Source organism: Homo sapiens, chromosome 10, assembly GCF_000001405.40.
Source record: "Homo sapiens chromosome 10, GRCh38.p14 Primary Assembly".
In the NCBI taxonomy this organism is placed as follows: domain Eukaryota; kingdom Metazoa; phylum Chordata; class Mammalia; order Primates; family Hominidae; genus Homo; species Homo sapiens.
In genome coordinates, this window is record NC_000010.11 from 46,404,982 (window position 1) to 46,423,432 (window position 18,451).

Here is an 18,451-nt window from a genome sequence, read left to right on the forward strand (position 1 = left end):
AGTTTAGTAGTCACTTAAACCTTTCTCACACCTCAATTGTCTCCTCCTCCTTCCATTTCATCTCCCTACCATGGTTAGGAAAGTGTCTCCACTTTTAAGAACTCATGTATTTTGATTGGGCCCACCCAAACAATCCAGGGTAATCTCCGCATCTCAAGGTTTATACCCTTAATCATATCTGCAAAGCCCCTTTTGTCATGTAATGTAACGTGGTTCCAGGGATTAGGGCATGGATATCTTTGGGGGCCACTATTCTTCTCATGACAAGATTTATTCTTGAGAACATTCCATATACACATATAAAGAATGTCTATTCTGTTGATGGTGGTGGAGTGTTCTGTGGGTAACTACCAGCTCTAGTGGGTTTACTGTTTTTTTCAGATCTTCTATATCCTTGTGGATCTTCTGCCTAGTTGTTCTATCCGTTGTTGAAAGTGGAGTAATGATGTCTCCAACTATAATTGTTGAATTTTCTATTTCTCACTTCAGTTTTTGCTTCATGTATTTGGATCTCTGCTATTAAGTGCATATATATTCTTAATTGCCATGTCTTCTTAATAGATTGAAACTTTTACAATTATAAAATGTTTTTCTTTGTCTCTTGTAATAATTTTTGTCTTAAGAGTCTATTTGGTCTACTGTTAGTATAGCTAGCCACTCCAGCTCCCCTTTGGTTACTACTTTCATGGATTATCTTTTTCCATCCTATTACTTTCAACCTATTTGTGTCTTTGAATGTAAAGTATGTCTCTTATAGATAACAGTTGATTCATTTTTTAAAATCACAACCTCTGCATTTTGATTGGTATGTTTACTCTATTTACATTTAATATGATTTACTGAAAAGATAGGCTCTACACCTTCCATTTTGCTATTTTTATATGTCCTACATCTTTTTTGTTTTTCTTTTCCCTCATTACTGTCTTCTTTTGAATTCAATTGATATTTTCTAGCATATCATTTTAATTCTTTTGTTTGTTTTACCATATATTTTTAGTTATTTTCTTATTCTTGCCCTGGGGATTATAACATTTTATCATAAAACAATCTAATCCATATCAATCCAACTTAATTTCAACAATATATTTAAAGATTGCTTCAATATAGGTCCATTTCCTGCCCCCTTCCTTTGTGTTAATATTATCGTACAAATTACATCTTTATACATTATAAGCCCAACAACCCAGTTTTATAATTACTCATTTATGTAGCTATTTTTAAATCAGATAGGATAAGAAAAGAATTACAATTAAAAATACATTATACTGTCTTTTTAATTATGTAATTACCCTGCAGTGCTCTTTATTTCTTTGTGTGGATGAAGTTACCATCTAGTGTCCTTTCATTTCAGCCTGAGAGACTCCTTTTAGTATTTCTTGTAGGGAAGATCTACTCATGATGAACTCTCTCATTTTTCATTTATCTGGGCATTTCTTCTTTTTTTTCAAAGATACCTTTGCTAGATATAGAATTCTTGGTTGACAGTCATTTTCTTACAATACTTTTAATATGTTATCCCATTGCCTTCTTGCCTGAATGGTTTTGATAAAAAGTCAGTTGTTAATCTTATTGAGGAATTTGAAGCTAGAGTGTATATGCTGAGTTATTTTTCTTTTGTAGCTTTCGAGATTCTCTTTTTGTCATTGGCTTTTGATAGTTTGACTCTGATGTATCTAGGTATGGATTTCTTTGTTTTTATACCACTTGTAGTTCGTTGAATTTCTTGAGCATGTAAATTAATGTTCTTCATCAAATTTGGGAAGTTTATGGCAATTATTTCTTCAAATATTCTTTCTGCCCCTTTATCTCCTCTTCTTTTGGGATTCTCATTATATACATATTGGTATGCTCTCTGAGGCTCTGTTCATTTTTCTTCATTCTTTTGACTTTCTGTTCCCTGGATTGTATAATCTCAATTGACCCTTATTCAACTTACTGAATCTTTTTTCTGCCTGCTCAAATTGGCTGTTAAGCCCCTCTGGTTAATAATTTTTTATTTCAGTTGCACTTTCAACCCAGAATTTTATTTTTTTCCCTTTTTTATATAATTTTCTATCTCTTTATTGATATGCTGTATTTGGTAAGACATCATTTTCATGCTTTTTAAAATTCTTTAAACATGCTTTCCTTTAGTTGTTTAAACATGTTTTTAAGACTTGTTCTAAAATCTTTGATAGTAAGTCCAATGTCTGGGCTTCCTCAAGAAAAAGTTTCTAATGGCAGCTTTTTCCCTGTGAATAGGTCACACATTTTGTTTCTTTGCATTTCTCATATTTTTTTCTTAAAAACTGAATGTTTTAAATAAAATAATGTGGTGTCTCCAAAAATCAGACCTCACCCCTCTTCACAATTTGTTGTTGCTTCTGTTTGTTGTTGTTGCCGATGCTGCTGTTTCTCTGTTTAGTGAATTTCCTGGACTAAGTTTTAATGTATACTTTTTGTCATGTGTAGCCACCGAAGTCTTTCCTCAGTTTAGTTGTCCATTAATTTTTGGACAGAGATTTCTTTAAATTCCTTGCACAACTAAATCTACCTACCTTTGCTGGGAAGCTTTGTTTGTGTTGAGCCATGCCTTCGATGCTTCAGCAAGCAGCTGACAACTCTGCCTCAGAGTTTACTTCCTGCTTGCACAGAGCCTCAAAGCCAAACAAAAGTTAAGCTCTAGTTAGATCTGTCTTGGACATGTGTACAACCCTGCACGTGCACATGGCCTTCTAGGTTCTTAAGAATATGTCAGAGCTTTTCCAAAGCCTCTATGAATACCTCATTCCCCAGTTTTTCCTTGTAACTGTTTTGGTCAGCCTCTTATTAGCCCCAACTGGTACTGCCATCTCAGGCAGTTGCAATGTCAAACAATTTTTGCTGATTGTTTTTGACAGATTCCCTCAGGATAGGGCTGTTCACACAGACTAAGCTCCAAACCATGTTAAGCAAAGACAATCCCTGAGAATGTGCCTTTTCCAGGGAGCTGTCAGACAGATCAAATAGTAACAACTTTCTGAGGATGGGATTTTTGGAGAGCTCTAAACCTATTCTGTCCTCCCCAGTGGCTACCAGGCTGCTGGTTTTCACAGCTGTCATGGTTGTGAGAATGTTAATTGTGTGTGTGTGTGTGTGTGTGTGTGTGTGTGTGTGTAAGACAGAGGTTGTCTCTGTGTTGTCCAGACTGGTCTCAAACTCATGGACTTAAGCAATCCTCCCATTTCAGCCTCCCAAAGTGCTAGGATTATAGGAGTGAGCCACCATGCCTAGCTGAGAACATTTATGTTCAAGTCTATCATAGAGCTTGGAAAAGAAGACTACGAATAAGGCAAGTTAAAACACCACAAAATTTGCTATTCTTACTGAGATTCAGCTGTGTTTCTTGAATAAATCTAACTTGGATTGCTGAAAGCCTTTGGTTAATTTCCAGGACTCTGAAAATGTTAATTTTGACATTTTTGCCAGTGCTCTCATTGTTGTTAAGGAAGGATTTTCAGAAGTCCTTATTCTGACATTCTGCAAGTGTTTCTCTTGGTTTGAGTTTTCATGTGATTGTTTGGGGTAGTTGTTTTTATTTTTGTTGTTGTCTTGATTGGTTTTTGGAGAGATGGTTTTCTACTGGATACTCCTAGGATTCTTTTCTTTGAAGGCAAACATTCATTTTGTTAGGATCTGTCATCTCAGCATTGACTTCTCTAAATCAATTTACCCTTCGGTCAGAAAATTCAAGTCTTCCTTTATTTCAGGAAAGTTGTTCTGAATATTGAGTCTAAGTTTTTTTCTATTCCATAGTTCAGGTTTCCTAACCAGGGGACAGAATGTCCTCCCCTGCACTGAATGGCCTCTGCCTTTGTCTACTGAAGACTGCCTGAGTATCACTTGCAATTTAAAACAGGGCCTGTCTGTAGAGCCTTCTCTGTACCCAGGACAGTTTAGAGGCGTGTCTGTGTTTCCACACCAATAGTAATTATAGTAATAATGATTACTACAAGGTGAGCATCTAATGCTTTGAAATCTGATATCATTTAATGACCCCAGTTACCCTGTGAGGTGGGTATTATCTTCATTTGCAGATGAAGATACTGCAGCTTAGTCAGCAGACTAAGTCACCTAAATGCTCTGTCAGAAGCAGAATTTGTACTCAGGAATGGCCAACTGCAAAGTCCATGTGCTTGAACAGTATGGCATACTGATACATGCACCTGCCATGACCAGAACACAATACAGTGATCTGGCAGCACTTCGTGGCTCACCATCTCTGCTATACTGATAACAACTTGAGGGCTGGACCTACTTATCTTATTCAACAAGGACCCTCTCAGAGGTTAGGGTTGCCCAGTGCAAAGATAGCAAGTCATGTGACACATGGGCCACCTCACCCCTCCTGCAGCCATTGATAACTTTCTTCTTTGAACATGGCATTCTTTCTCTCTAAGCCCAGTTAAGAATTCAGAATCCTTCTAGGCCCAGTTTTTAAAGCAGCCACCACCAATCTATTGGTGCTGACATGAATTCAAAAGATACTTTCTATCCCTTATCTAAATAGTTCATAAGATGATGAGGCTGAACTATGGAACAAATGTAGTCCGTCAGAGATTTCTAGAAAAAAAAACCAACTCTCAATAGTCCTAGAAGTTTGGAAATGAGTATTAATCCCAGGATAATCCAGACACATCTTGTCTTATGGCCTGATGCCAAGTGATGTGGCCCTTATCTAATAGCGCATTTGCATTTTAAATGAGTAAAGCTGGTTAAACCTCTTTTTCCAATTTCAGCTATTATTTTATCTACAAGGGCCTCATAGACATTCACTCCACCCAACAACCACAGAATATACATTCTTCCTATCTGTACACAGAACATATTCTCAGATCAACCATACGCTGAGTCATAAAGCAAGTCTCAATAAATTTTAAAAAATTGAAATTATACCAAACACACTCTTGGACCACAGTGCGATAAAAATAGAAACTAATATCAAGAAGATCTCTCAAAACTACACAAATACATGGATATTAAACAACTTTTTCCTGATTAACTCCTAGGTGAAAATCAAAATTAAGGCAGAAATAAAAAAATCTTTGAAAGTAATGAAAATGGAGATACAACTTAACAAAGTCTCTGGGATACAGCCAAAGCAGTGTTAAGAGGAAAGTTTATAACGTTAAATGCCTTCACCAAGAAGTTAAAACAATCTCAAATTAACAGTCTAACTTTGCACCTAGAAGAACTAGAGAAAAAGAGCAAACCAACCCCAAAGCTAGCAGAAGAAAATAAATAACTAAAATTAAAGAAGAACTTAATGAAATTGAGATGCAAAAATCCATACAAAAGATAAATGAAACCAAAAGTTGATTTTCAAAAAAATAAACAAGACTGAGAGACCACTAGCTAGATTAACAAAGAAAAAAGAATTTCCAAATAAGTACTGTCAGAAATGACAAAGATATTACAATTCATCTTCATTTGCAGATGAAGATACTGCAGCTTTGTCAGCAGACTAAGTCACCTAAATGCTCTGCCAGAAGCAGAATTTGTACTCAGGAATGTCCAACTGCAAAGTCCATGTGCTTGAACAGTATGGCGTACTGATACATGCAGAAATACAAAAGATCCTCAGAAAATACTGTGAGTAATTCTATGCACACAAATTAGAAAATCTAGAGGAAATGGATAAATTCCTGGGAACATACAATCTCCCAAGATTGAATCAGGAAGAGACTGATACCCTGACTAGACCAATATCAAGCTCTGAAATTAAACGAATAATAAAAAACCTACCAACGACAACAACAAAAAGCCCTGGACTAGATGGATTCACAGCTAAATTCTATCAGACATACAAAGAACTGGTACCAATCCTACTGATTAAACCTCTTTAGGTTCTGCTTTTTGTATTGTTAAAATCTTCATTTTTGGTTTTCTAACAGTCTCTGATTCAAACATTCGTTACCAATAAACAATCCAGGTAGCCTCACCCTGAGTGGCAGCCTGGCTGGGTGAGTTCTAAAAATGCCCAAGACCTCCAAGACTAGGTGAGATCTGAAGTAATGAAATGCCTCCATTCACTAAAGGCCTGAAATTGTCCTGACTGCCCCAGTCCCACGGACCAAGAAGAGCCTTTCAAGCTGTGATCCCAATACTTGTGGCTGCTGTGAGAATAAGGAAAGCAGCCTAGGCCTCCAGTGGAAGGATCAGATGTTTGCCCTTCATACCTCAGAGAGCCTTCATCCAAGTAAGATGGGTGGTGAGGAGCTGTGGATGACAGCATGAAGGATGAGGACTGATGCAGCAGCCATAATTAGATTATAGGTTTCCATGGGATGTGCCATGACTGCTTACAAATGGGGCCCAGCCATGGAATTGAGTTATCAACTAAGCTGATTCCTGAGGCACAGATCATCCTGTCCTCCACAACATGATTAAAGACTACATGATGCTCAGGAAGACCTCTGCAGCTGTGTGCTTGGAAGAGTGTGTTTTTCCTGCTAAAGCATAAGAAAAAAGAGACCAGCAATTATCTTAGGCCTTGCAGCATCCTTTCTGGTCCCACAAGTTTGAGAAGGCAGGTGTGTGTGTGTGTGTGCATTTGTGTTTGTGTGTGTGCGCACGTCCACATGCATGCATGATCCTACAATGGAAGTGAGTACGCAAAAGTTGATTGCCTATATACCCTCCCCACAACCAGGTGTATAAGAGTATTCTTTGAGAATGAGAAAGCAGGAAGGAGCACATCCCACACCTTAGCATTCATGTAGTCAATTAGGAACTCCTGAGCTCCCATGACATGCTAGACCCTGGGCTCAGCACTGGATCTCAGACATGTCCCAAACTGGGCGATGGAAGTGGTGGGAAGCAACCACTCATGGACAGCTTCCCGTGTGCCAGGAGTGTGCCAGCATTGACATTATGCCGTCTCTCACTCCTGCCCTCCATCACATTAGTGATTCTGCCATGAGTGACTCGTTCCTTTGGGTTCCTGTTAAGTTCCTGTGGAGGGGTCTAGCCACAGCAGGGGAAAGAGCACCGAGGGAGCTTTTAGGAAACTCTGCTCCAGGTCAGCTGTGTGATGCTGAAAAAATGGCTCACCCTCTCTGGACCTGTTTCCTCTTTTGCACAATAAGAGGGTGGTGTTCTCCAAGGTCTCCTTGAAAATGCGACTTATCCTTGGTCATCACTTTGCAGAGGGCAGGTCCTGTCCCCAAGCCCACCAGAGTGGAGCTGGGAAAAGTTCCATGGTGAAGAAAAGGCAGGGGACACAACTCTGAGAGTCATTCCTTTGAAGATTGAGCCCAGAGGGCTCAGTTTCTGGATTGCATGGGGCACTTTGTCTCTCTCTGCTGGAGCCACGCACCCCTGGTGCAGTAGTTTCTGCCCTGCCCAGACTCTGGTCCCAGAAGGTTGACATAATGAGGAGGGAATGAGCTTGCCAGCTCTGCCATGACCAGCAGGCTGCCTTGGGCAAGTGCTTCACTTCCCTGAGCCTCACTTCCTCTGCCTCATCCCTTCTCAGAGACCACTCCTCATTTACCATCCTAAAGTCTGACCCGTCCTGACAACCATTATTCTCTCTCCATCCCCTGGTTTTTCTCTTTAGGACAGTTACTGCATTCTCTATCTCTTGTTGTTTCTTAGGTGGAGGAGGTACCTGCCTCCTCCCTACCTAGAACGTGAGCCTAGTAAAGGGATGGGCCTCACCTGTTTCAGGTTTGACCTCCAATGCCCGTCACGTAGAAGCTCAACACCATTTCCAATGCCAGAAGTGACAGGACAACAGCAACAATAGCAATATTTCTGTACCACTCCCCTCACTTTCCAAAGAGAAGTAATTCCCAGCTTGGACCTTCCCTTGCTGGGAGGGGTGCCCAGGTGTGGCCTCTCTGTGACCTTGGACCCTGGCTCCGGCATATGCCAGCCTGGCCTTTCCCCAGGGTAGGGAGCTGGCACCCTGGGCATTCCCCAGCCAGCATCCAGCCTTCTTGGGCAGGGCCTTTCCACACCATTCCTCCCAAATCCTCACTGGCCCACCCTGGAACAAATGCAGGCGGAAGCTCGCATCCCCACCTCTGCTGTTTCTGCTGGGTCCCCAAAGAGCTTTCTTTAGGGAAAAAGAAAGCAGGCCAGTGCCTGCTCCTTTTAGACCCCACAGTGGGGCATGGGGTGGGCCTTGGTTGGCCTTAATTTTCCATTCACCTGAGGAGTGGCTCAATCTCACTCACTCCCATTGCAGGTGGATGTCAGCCAAACTGGATGCATAAGGTTTTTGTGATTTAGGAGTTGCAACAGGGGAGATAAAATGCCTAGGAATGTCTTCAGTTGGAAAAAAGGGGCATGATCCTCACATTCTGTAACCTGAGCACTTTATCTCCTCTCTCCCCTTCCTTCACTGATACAAGAAAGGAGACTCCAGCACTAGTTTCCTCAGTCCTTCTGCAGGGCGGGGCTTCTCACGGCCTCAAAGTCATGGAGAAGAGTGTGCACAGGACACCTCACTTTAAGCAAAGCCCATAGACCGTATTTGAGAAAAGGAGTTAAATAAAGAGGCAGCCACCAACAAACAAGAGCCCTGTGGTCACTCAGGTCCCATAGACTCTAGAGGTCAAAGGGCCTCCGAGCATTTGAGAATCAGAGAGGGCAAGTAACTTGGCTGATATCACATAGCACGAAGGTGGCAGAGCCAGGATTCTACCTGCTGGCCTCCCAGATGTCTTTCCTGTTGGACCCTGCTTGCTGGCCACTCCTGGTGGGGGTCACTCCACCATTAGTGTGTTCGTCAAACTGACAGTTGTGGTCCAGATCCCTTGCCTCTGGTGTGCCCAGCACCTTAGCTGGCACCTCCCTCAGCAAACCCAGCCTTCGCCATCCTCTCAAGCATACTTCCCAGGGCTGTTTTGTCCATTACGGTCCCAGAATATAAGGCCTTTGGGTTTTTTCAGGGCCTGTGAAAAGGTTTGAAACATGAAAAACATACTGGCAGTTCCAAAATTCTCAAATAAAACTGTAGAAATGCCTTAGGAATTAAATATGTAATAAGATGTGAACACTTCATTACACACCTACAATTAGTCACATGCCTACGATATGTGAATAATGTCAGGTCAGCTAGTGAACTGTTATATAGTAATTGCGCATCACTTATATAGATATACACAAAGTGCACTTACTGACTTGGATGTGTGTGTTCATTGTTTGAAGTGGCGTGGATGGAGGCTCCAAAAGATAAAAGAATGTAGGGGAGGTGACTCTTCAAATGGCCCTCACCCACCCCTTACCCTCAGCTCACCCACCATGAAGCTTCCCCTTCCAAGGAGGACACACCTCCTTTCCTAGAACATTCTTCAGTGCCACAAGCTGCTCAGTCAGCCCTGATTCTGGAGTCTCCAGTGAGCGAGGCCTGGGGTGGCCCCAGCGGGATGAGCCACACTCCCCACAGCACTCAGCCTGGATGTGGCACTGGCTGCACATAGCAAGAGGCAGCTATTGGACACCTGCTCGCCACAAGTTCTGTCTTATCCTCCCAGCAACACCGAGTGAGGGAGGGAGTGTTAACCCACCATTCACCAGGTTTACCAGAGACCAAGCCCAGGCTCTCCCCACTGCACACTTTTAAAAGGGTCCTTTCAGCTTCCCATTAAAGTGGTTTGTTCCTTTGTTCCTCCTCTCCTGTTCTTCCTAAGACATCATCACTGAAATTTAAGCTTATAAATTTAAAATGGAGTAAATCTATAAGGGAAAAGCATTAAAAAAAGAGAGAAAGATGGCTTACTAATGGATGAGAGTCCAACACATTTCTGGAAGACAGGGTTCATGAGAGGCCTAGCACTGTGGCTCCCACCTGTAATCCCAGCACTTTCGGAGGCTGAGGCAGGAGGATCGCTTGAGGACAGGAATTCAAGCCTGCAGTGAGTTACCGTCACACCACCCTACTCCAGCCTAGGCAACAAAGCGAGACCCCATCTCTTAGAAAAGAAAAAAGAAGATTCACAAGAGGGTGTGGCAATATTAGACAGGCTAAGCCCCCAGGTGTACCCAGTGTAACCACAGGGGCCCTTCGGTGGAAGGGAGAAGCAGAAGAGGTCAGAGTGAAGCCACACCTGCTGTGACAATGGAGGGAGAAAGTGGCTGGCCAAGGAACTCCATCAGCTTCTAGAAGCTGGAAAAGGCAAGGAAACAGTCTCCACCCGGAGCCTTATGGGAACACAGCCGCCTCATGGGAACACAGCTGCCCTGTGACACTGATTTTAGCCCCGTGAGGCCCATGCTGGACTTCTGGCCTCCAGAACTGTAAGATTTGTGGTGCTCTAAGCAAATCATAAATTTGTGGAAATTTGTTACAGCAGCAACAGAAAAGTAGCACAGGCAGCCTACGTGCTAATTCTCATCTTACCTGAGGTGGGGTGTACAATACACCCTGCGTTAGTTGGAAAGCTGAAACAATTCTCTAATGCTAATACTGAAATTGTCAGGTCGGTGTAACTGTGACAGTCCGGAAGCAATGGAGGCTTCAGTGAGCAGGACTAGCTGCCTTTCTCACCACCACAGCTTGATCTCTCTCACAACTTCCTCTCCACCTCCACTGACCTCTGGGTTGGTTTTCTCCTGCACGATCTTTCCACGTGTCAGGGGCCTGGAGGCACCCTACAAGAGCTGATTTTACATTTCCTTCCTAGAGGTAATCCCAGAACAAAAGAGAGCAGTTTTATTTATTTTTTTCAAGAGAATTAAATTGTTTATTGATTACACATGATAATGGATGATACACAAGCTTCATTCCCATCTATAATTTAATCTGGTACCATTATTCAATTAGATATGTTACATAGGATGTGCCAACAATTACTTTTATAACCAATAATTCCATGATTTTGCTTGGGTAATCCCTTTTAATGGTGACTGAAATCATGACTGACCGAGTCAGTGGCTAGAAAAGGGGCTTTGCCTTTGTAACTTTTGACGACCATGACTCCGTCGTTAAGATTGTCATTCAGAAATACCATACTGTGAATGACCACAACTGTGAAGTTAGGAAAGCCCTGTCAAAGCAAGAGATGGCTAGTGCTTCATCCAGCCAAAGAGGTCGAAGTGGTTCTGGAAACTTTGGTGGTGGTCGTGGAGGTGGTTTCAGTGGGAATGACAACTTTGGTATTGGAGGAAACTTCAGTGGTCTTGGTGGCTTTGGTGGCAGTCGTGGTGGTGGTGGATATGGTGGCAGTGGGGATGGCTGTAATGGATTTGGTAATGATGGAAGCAATTTTGGAGGTGGTGGAAGCTACAATGATTTTGGCAATTACAACAATGAGTCTTCAAATTTTGGACCCATGAAGGGAGGAAATTTTGGAGGCAGAAGCTCTGGCCCCTGTGGCAATGGAGGCCTATACTTTGCAAAACCATGAAACCAAGGTGGCTATTGGCGGTTCCAGCAGCAGCAGTAGCTATGGCAGTGGCAGATTTTAATTAGGAAACAAAGCTTAGCAGGAGAGGAGAGCCAGAGAAATGACAGGGAATCTACAGGTTACGACAGATTTGTGAACTCAGCCAAGCACAGTGGTGGCAGGGCCTAGCTGCTACAAAGAAGACATGTTTTAGACAAATACTCATGTGTATGGGCAAAAAATTCGAGGACTGTATTTGTGACTAACTGTATAACAGGTTATTTTAGTTTCTGTTCTGTGGAAAGTGTAAAGCATTCCAGCTAAGGGTTTTAATATAGGTTTTTTTTTTTTTTGCACCCATGCTGTTGATTGCTAAATGTAATAGTCTGATCATGACGCTGAATAAATGTCTTTTGTTTTAATGTGCTGTGTAAAGTTAGTTTACTCTGAAGCTATCTTGGTAAATTTCCCCAACAGTGTGAAGTTAGAATTCCTTCAGGGTGATGCCAAGTTCTATTTGGAATTTATATACAACCTGCTTGGGTGGAGAAGCCATTGTCTTCAGAAACCTTTGTTGTAGTTGAACTGATAGTTACTGTTGTGACCTGAAGAGAGCAGTTTTAGTAGTGAAAGTCCTGCAGGATTCCTAGTGGTCAAGATTGGGGAGCATGCCTGTATCCCACAGTGGCCAGGGCCCAGGACATATGCCTGGCCCTGTGACTGGCTGGTCATGGGCACAGGCCCCCGGGAGGGAGGGGAGAGTCCTTTCAGAAGAAGGGGAGGGTATGGGAACAGACCCAACCTGACCGCCCCAGACCGTTACTCTCCCTGAGGTGGATGGAATGCAGAATCAAAGTACAATTATATGGTTTAAAGTTTTAAAAGTAAATAACAGAAAACTAAAAATAATTATGCCAAAATGATAAAACTTTGGAAGGATGAAGGGAGGAAGCAGAGGTGCATAATGAGGCCATTTCTTATGTTCCATCACAGGAGGTAGATAAATTTTCTCCAGATGAATAAAAAAATAAGGGTGCCTATACATGCTACTAAGCATTGTGGAGGCACCCACCAGAAGTACTAAAAATGGAAATGTTTACAAGAAGTTGCCTCTGGAGAGTGAGGCCAGGACTGGGGAGGGGAGAGGATAGAAACTGTTTTCTCTCACCATAAACCCTTCTCTCATATTTGATTTGTTCCTATCTGTTTGTTTTACATTGATCACAAGATGTGCTGTGAGAGTGAAAGATTTTTAAATATTTAGATGGATGTCCTGAGCTTTGATATGAAATGCTGATCTGATCAATATCTAATATTATAACTCCATTTGGGATAAAATTTTAGGGTCATGGGGAAAAAACATAATTTGGAATCATCTTCATTCATATGCAAGTTATGCTTTTTAAGAAGGAAACTCCTTGATTCTCATCTGCTGTGCTGAATCTTTAGGAGTTTAACCTGCTATGTCACATGTTTCAATAAAAGAGAGATGTTCCCAGCCTGTTAAACAACAAACTCGCCTGCTTAAATCAAAAAGCAATTATGAATGAATGAATGAACTCTTGTCATCACCCTCTCTCCAGGAGAGAGTAAGGCACATTCATTCTCACAAGAAGACCTGGCCTCACCCCATTTCTCTGTTTCCCAGGCATATGGCTCATCTGCGTCCAGTGTATGTTTGGCCAGGACACTGGACATGTCCCACTTGGCTCCTGCCTCTTGCCCCTGCCAGTCTGGCCTACGGCCGTGGGTCTGAGGGGAGGACTGGGAGCCATCAGAGACAGCAGCTGGCCAGGATCTGATTTGGAGGCCTAGTACTCAATGCAGAGTTACTCTTCAGGCCCCAGCTCCTTCATGCAGGGCTCCTGGGCCACATATTCAGAGTCAGATTCCCCACCCTTCTCCAGAGATTCGGGTCATTGACTTACACCAAAGCTGGAAGCCATAAATCAGGAGACTTCATTGGTCTCATTCCTGAACCCACCCCTGCAACCTTTGGTCATCGCCCCATAGGCCAGCCCTGGCCATCCACCCATCTCCCTGATGCTCCCTCCATCCTGCTCTGGGACTCCTCTCCTTCCTGCTCTTCCGCCACGGCTGACTCTGCCTCTTCGTCACTGTTCCACTGGGAGGCCCATTTCAGAGCAAATGAGCCCTCTGTGTCATCAGCCTTTCTCTCCTCCCCTGGGGGCATACTCCTTTACCCTAGATGCGGGCTTCTCACTCTCCCTCTTCCAACTTGGCTAAGGACCCAGCAGGACAGGGAGCCTCTTCCTCTTCCCCTTTGCCCTCCTCCCACATCCCATCGTCTTTCGCTCTCTGGAGGTTGGGGGGAGGGGCAGGGTGGAACAATTCCCCCAGCTTCTCACTCCCAGGGCCTCCCCTCCATGATCACCGTCTCCCTCTCCTCCCTGAGGCCGGAGGCCTGGCCATGCCCGTAGGGACAACGTCTCCCCAGCTTGGCCTTGGTGCTCTGGGACCTCCCCAACTGCACAACAGGCTCCCAAGCCGGGAATGCTTTTGTCTCAGCTCCCCTCTAGACCTGGGGAGCCCTCCATGGAAAACCACAGTCGAAAAATGGATTTAGTATCTGCATTGTTCAGGGTCATGGCAAGAAATGGCATTGAATGCTTCAAATGATGAGACTTTAATGGCAGTAGTCCTTACAGAAGTGTGGCCAGGTGAAGAGGATGAACAGGGATGTTGAGAAGCACGAAAACAAACAACTCTAGGATGCTGTTACTCATGGGGCTAGACAGAGAGGAATAGTGTTGCCACAGCCAGTAAGAGCTAGAGATGTGGAGAAGGGGTTTCCAGCAGGAGCTGATGTCTTGGAGAGACACAGCCTTGGGGAGGGGCAGTGGGGACGGGGTGGGGGGATACACTGACCACTCTCTCTCTTCCTATACTTTTGCCTTCCAGCTAGAGTCTCCCACTGGCTAATTCCAACCTCTGCCCAGTCAGTAAGAAAGCCTGAGAGGCAGCTTAAAGACGTCAGGTTCCCAGGGTCAAGCAGGACACATGGCTGTGGGGGTGGGGAAGGAGAGTGGGCAAACACCCTGAAACTAAAAGGAGAGTAGCAGTGCAGAATCCAGGGCCACTGAAAACAGTTCCCAGAGTCCAACTCCGTCGTTTTGCAAATGGAGAAGCCAAGGCTGGAAAAGGTTAGTGATTTTCCCAAGTCACACAAAGTTCGTGGCCAGGCTGAGCCCAGACCCCAGATCCCCATCCCCCCTGCTGCCTGTGACACAACAAAGGCCTTGACACCAACACTCCCTTCTGTGGAGTCCCTTGTAGTGTTTATGCACTAAAAATCATTTTTAAAACATTTTAATAGGGTATATTGCTTTGAATCCCTTCCCCAACAGGAAATATGCTGGCTGGCTGGCAGAAGGCTCAGCAGCTGACCTTGAACTCCCTTGACCTCCCCACATCCAGGCTGAGATTTTCCATCCAACGGTATTGCCAGAGCCCAAGCTGAATGGAGGAGGCTGGAATTAAACAGTAACAGCCCCTTCCAGTTATCGTTCTGTAGCCAGCAGCTAGATAAATATTCGGAAAACATCGGAGGAGAAATCTAATTGAATTCAAACATAATAAATTGAAGCCAACTCACTGGATTTATGGTCATGTCTTCTGGCATCTTTTAATTTTGCATCACACTCATTTGGAGGCAATCAAATTAGGGCGCTCATTAGCAGCCAAGGGAGGGGAGGCTGGAGCCACACTCACTGCGGTAATGAGATCTCTGCAGTGGGATGATTCAGAAGTCGGTTGCCGGGGAGGCTGCAAGGGCACAGTGGTCACTGCCTCCTTTCAGGAAAGTTGTTGGGAGGAGCAGGAGGTTGATTGTAGGAGGGAGCAAGGGTGGAGTCCAGCCCAGCTACTCACCGGGTAACTGTGGCCTTCACCGCCCACAGTGTCAGACTCCTCCTCGGTGGGATAGCGGCAGTGCCTGCCTCCGAAGGCTAAATGAGTAGGAAATGAGATAAGAGGTAGAAACCATGTCTTCCTCCAGCCCTCAGAGTTTGATAACCTCTGCCCTCTCATCCCATTACGGCCCCATGGACAAAGCTCCTTGGCCCCCGATTCTCACTCATGGACCTCTGGCTTGTACATGTGAGAAACAAACTTACCCGTCCAAACCCAAAGAATGGACTCAGATACCCAGAGAACAGCGAAAGTGAAACTTTTAATGATGAACTTGCAAGATCGGGTGTCTGATGGACAAGCACACCCAGCAGTTTCGACAAGCAGTTTATCCCTAGAGTACGGGTCCCTCCCCCAGTTGCTCATAGACTGAGTACTATGGGGTCACAATTTTCCCGGATGTTGCCTATTGATTGTTAGGTAGGGGCTTTAGGTGTTTTTTTTTAGGGTTGTCTTGCTGCATTTTGTTGCAGCTCACAATGCATTGCAATCCTAGTCAGCTCAGGGGCTCTTCAAGTGTTTGACTTATGACCTAAGTAGCTAGGCAGGCTGACAAGAAGAGACAAATCAAGCTATCTTGCAGACTAATAAACTTTTATCTAAACTTCTTTGGTTCGGGTGAGGGCAACTAAGGGGGTGGGGAAGAGGGAAGAAGGGGGAGGCCGACAAGCAGGCAGCAGCTATCCAAGCAGGGGCCTAGTATGTCCTGTTGCTTCTATAGTTTGCTGACCTAAGCCGATTCAAGGCACTTGGTCTTGGAAATGGACCACTGTATACATTATTTCCTTCAGACACCCACCGTGGACACAATGCTCAGCTCATCCTGGCAGCCTGGCGAGATATGGCCTTGCCGCTAGAGCCGTTCCAGGCATCCCTACCCCAGACCAGGGGACTGGTCCAAGAGACCTGAGCTGGAACCTGAGAAGGACATCCAGGCAGCAGCCAAATAGGTGCCTGGTGCAAACAGGTGTTCAGGAAACACGGGCTTTCTCATCCACCCCAGTCCCTGCACAGGGCCGAGGAGGAGGAGGGCAGGCAGCTTTCTTGTCTGGCACAATCATTCACTTATCGAATACCTCATATGCCTGTGGTGCCAGGCGGGGTGCAGAATGTTATCCCATTCCATCCTCACTGACCATAAGGGAAGTATGAACACGTTTCACTTTGTAGATGAGGAAACTGAGTCCCAGTGAGAATAGGCATTTGCTCATGGCCACACAGCAGGTAAGAGATGGAGTCAGCAGTCAAACCCAGGTCTGACTGACTCCAGAGCCTGCGCACTCTCTGACAAGCAGCTCCACAGAACCGTGGCTGCCCAAGCAGGTGACTCCACAAAGAGCCTGGAGCCTCTGGGACCTGGACAGGGAAGTAGATTGCAGCCTTGTGAGAGTTACATCATGTGATGAGGGCTTTCTGATCCCACAGTCTACAGAGGGAACCACAGCTGGAGCTGAGCAAAGCCAGCTCATCCAGGCAGGGGCTCCAGTGAGTGCGCCCTGCTGCTCGCCAGGTGGTCAGCCTTCCAGCTTCCCCAGGGACTACCTACATGTCCCCCCAATGCTTACTGCCCACTCCCAGGAGGGGCTGCGTGTCAGAGCAGGCCAGAGCACCAGATGCCCTGTAAGGGTGTGTCTCTGTGTGTTTGTGTATGTGAGTGTGCACACACATGCATGTGGAAATGTGCGTGGGTGCGTATACACTTGTGTGCATGCACAGGACTGTGTGTGCTTATAAGTGTGTGTCTCTGTGAGTGTGTGAGAGTGTGTGTGTGTAAGTGTGTGAGGTAGGCCAAGCAATTCCAATCACTTGTTTTCTGAAATGTCCTCAGATCCACCCAGGTGAAAGGAGCTGATAAATATGTCATTATAATCACATTTTCTACTGTTAAAATACAGTCCTGATTATATTTGCAATGACGACAGTTTACTTTACCCAACACAGTAGGTGATTCAATTAAACCTCTCCCCATCTATCCTTGGGCAGCCAGACAGGCCAGCCTTTCCAGCCACAGGGAGAAGAGGAGGCAAAGGTGACACTCCCATGGCCGCGTACTCTCTCATCACATTCTTGATGCTTCCCCTGTCTTGGTTTTTTGAGGCCCCCAGGGCTTGGCCAGGTGTCTGCTCATTAACATATTAGGCCTGAGTTCAAATCATGAGCCCCATGAGCAGAAATGCACTCCAGGCCCCCTCCCCACTCCACAGAGCAGTGCACCTGAAGCACAGACCTGACTGAGTGAAGAAAGTCTTGACAGTAACCACCTGATGTTAGCACAGATGCCACAGACTTAGGGCCCTGCAGGATGCCAGCTGCATTCCCAGTGCACCCACACTTCCAATCACTGGCTACCAAGATAGAGGCTCCCACTCAGGGCTTCAAGTTGAATAAATAATTCATTAGAATGACTCACCAACCTCTGCACTTACAATTCCAGTTTTATTGATTGGTACAAATCAGGACAAGCTAAATGAAAAGATGCACAGGGAGAGGTTTGGGGAGATTCCCAAATGTGAAGCCTCCCAGAACACGGTTATACGATTACCAACCAGGGTGGCTGCACTGAGCTACAATGTCCAGAGTTTTTATTGGGGTTTGTTACCTAGGCATGATTGATGAAATCATTGCTTACACCTTTGTACTCAATTCCAATACCCACTCTCTCCCCAGAGGTCAGGCTGATATCATGTGGCTCAAAGTCCTGACCCTTTATTCACATGGCTGGTCTTGCCATGGTTGGCCAGCCTGCATCCTGAAGCTATGGAGTCCCACCTTGAAGCACCTGGTCAGCATAAACTCCGGTGTGGCCCCAGGGACCCACGATGAATAGCAAAGACACTCCTGCCACCCTGAAAATGCCAAGCTCCCTTCCAGGAACCTGGGACAAAGCCCAAATGCTTCATTTTACAACACCATGGGCCCCCTAAAGTGTCTGGTGGCTCTTCATTGCCTTCTGGGTAAATCCAGGCTTCAGCCTTGCCTGGAAAGCCCCTTCCTCCTTGTCTGCCCTCATCTCCCAGCTCTCTGGCCAGGTGCCTTTTGTTCCAGCCACACTGGCCTTCTTCACTTTCCAGACATACCAGGTCCTTTCCCATACCTTTGGGGTGATATCCTCCCCATCCTTTCCCCTTTCTTAATGCTTCCACTGTCTTGGCATATGTGACATCTGC

General features: G+C 44.9%; 1 long non-coding RNA gene and 1 pseudogene across 2 annotated transcripts in view; both read left to right on the forward strand.

Annotated features, from left to right (window-relative positions):
• The window catches only part of LINC00842 (long intergenic non-protein coding RNA 842), a 54,945-nt gene that overhangs the window by 6,620 nt on the left and 29,874 nt on the right, over positions 1-18,451 (forward strand). The window lies entirely within an intron of this gene.
• HNRNPA1P33 (heterogeneous nuclear ribonucleoprotein A1 pseudogene 33) lies at positions 10,872-11,435 on the forward strand (annotated as a pseudogene). Its single transcript, NR_003277.2, has one exon. The product of NR_003277.2 is annotated as a heterogeneous nuclear ribonucleoprotein A1 pseudogene 33 (transcript).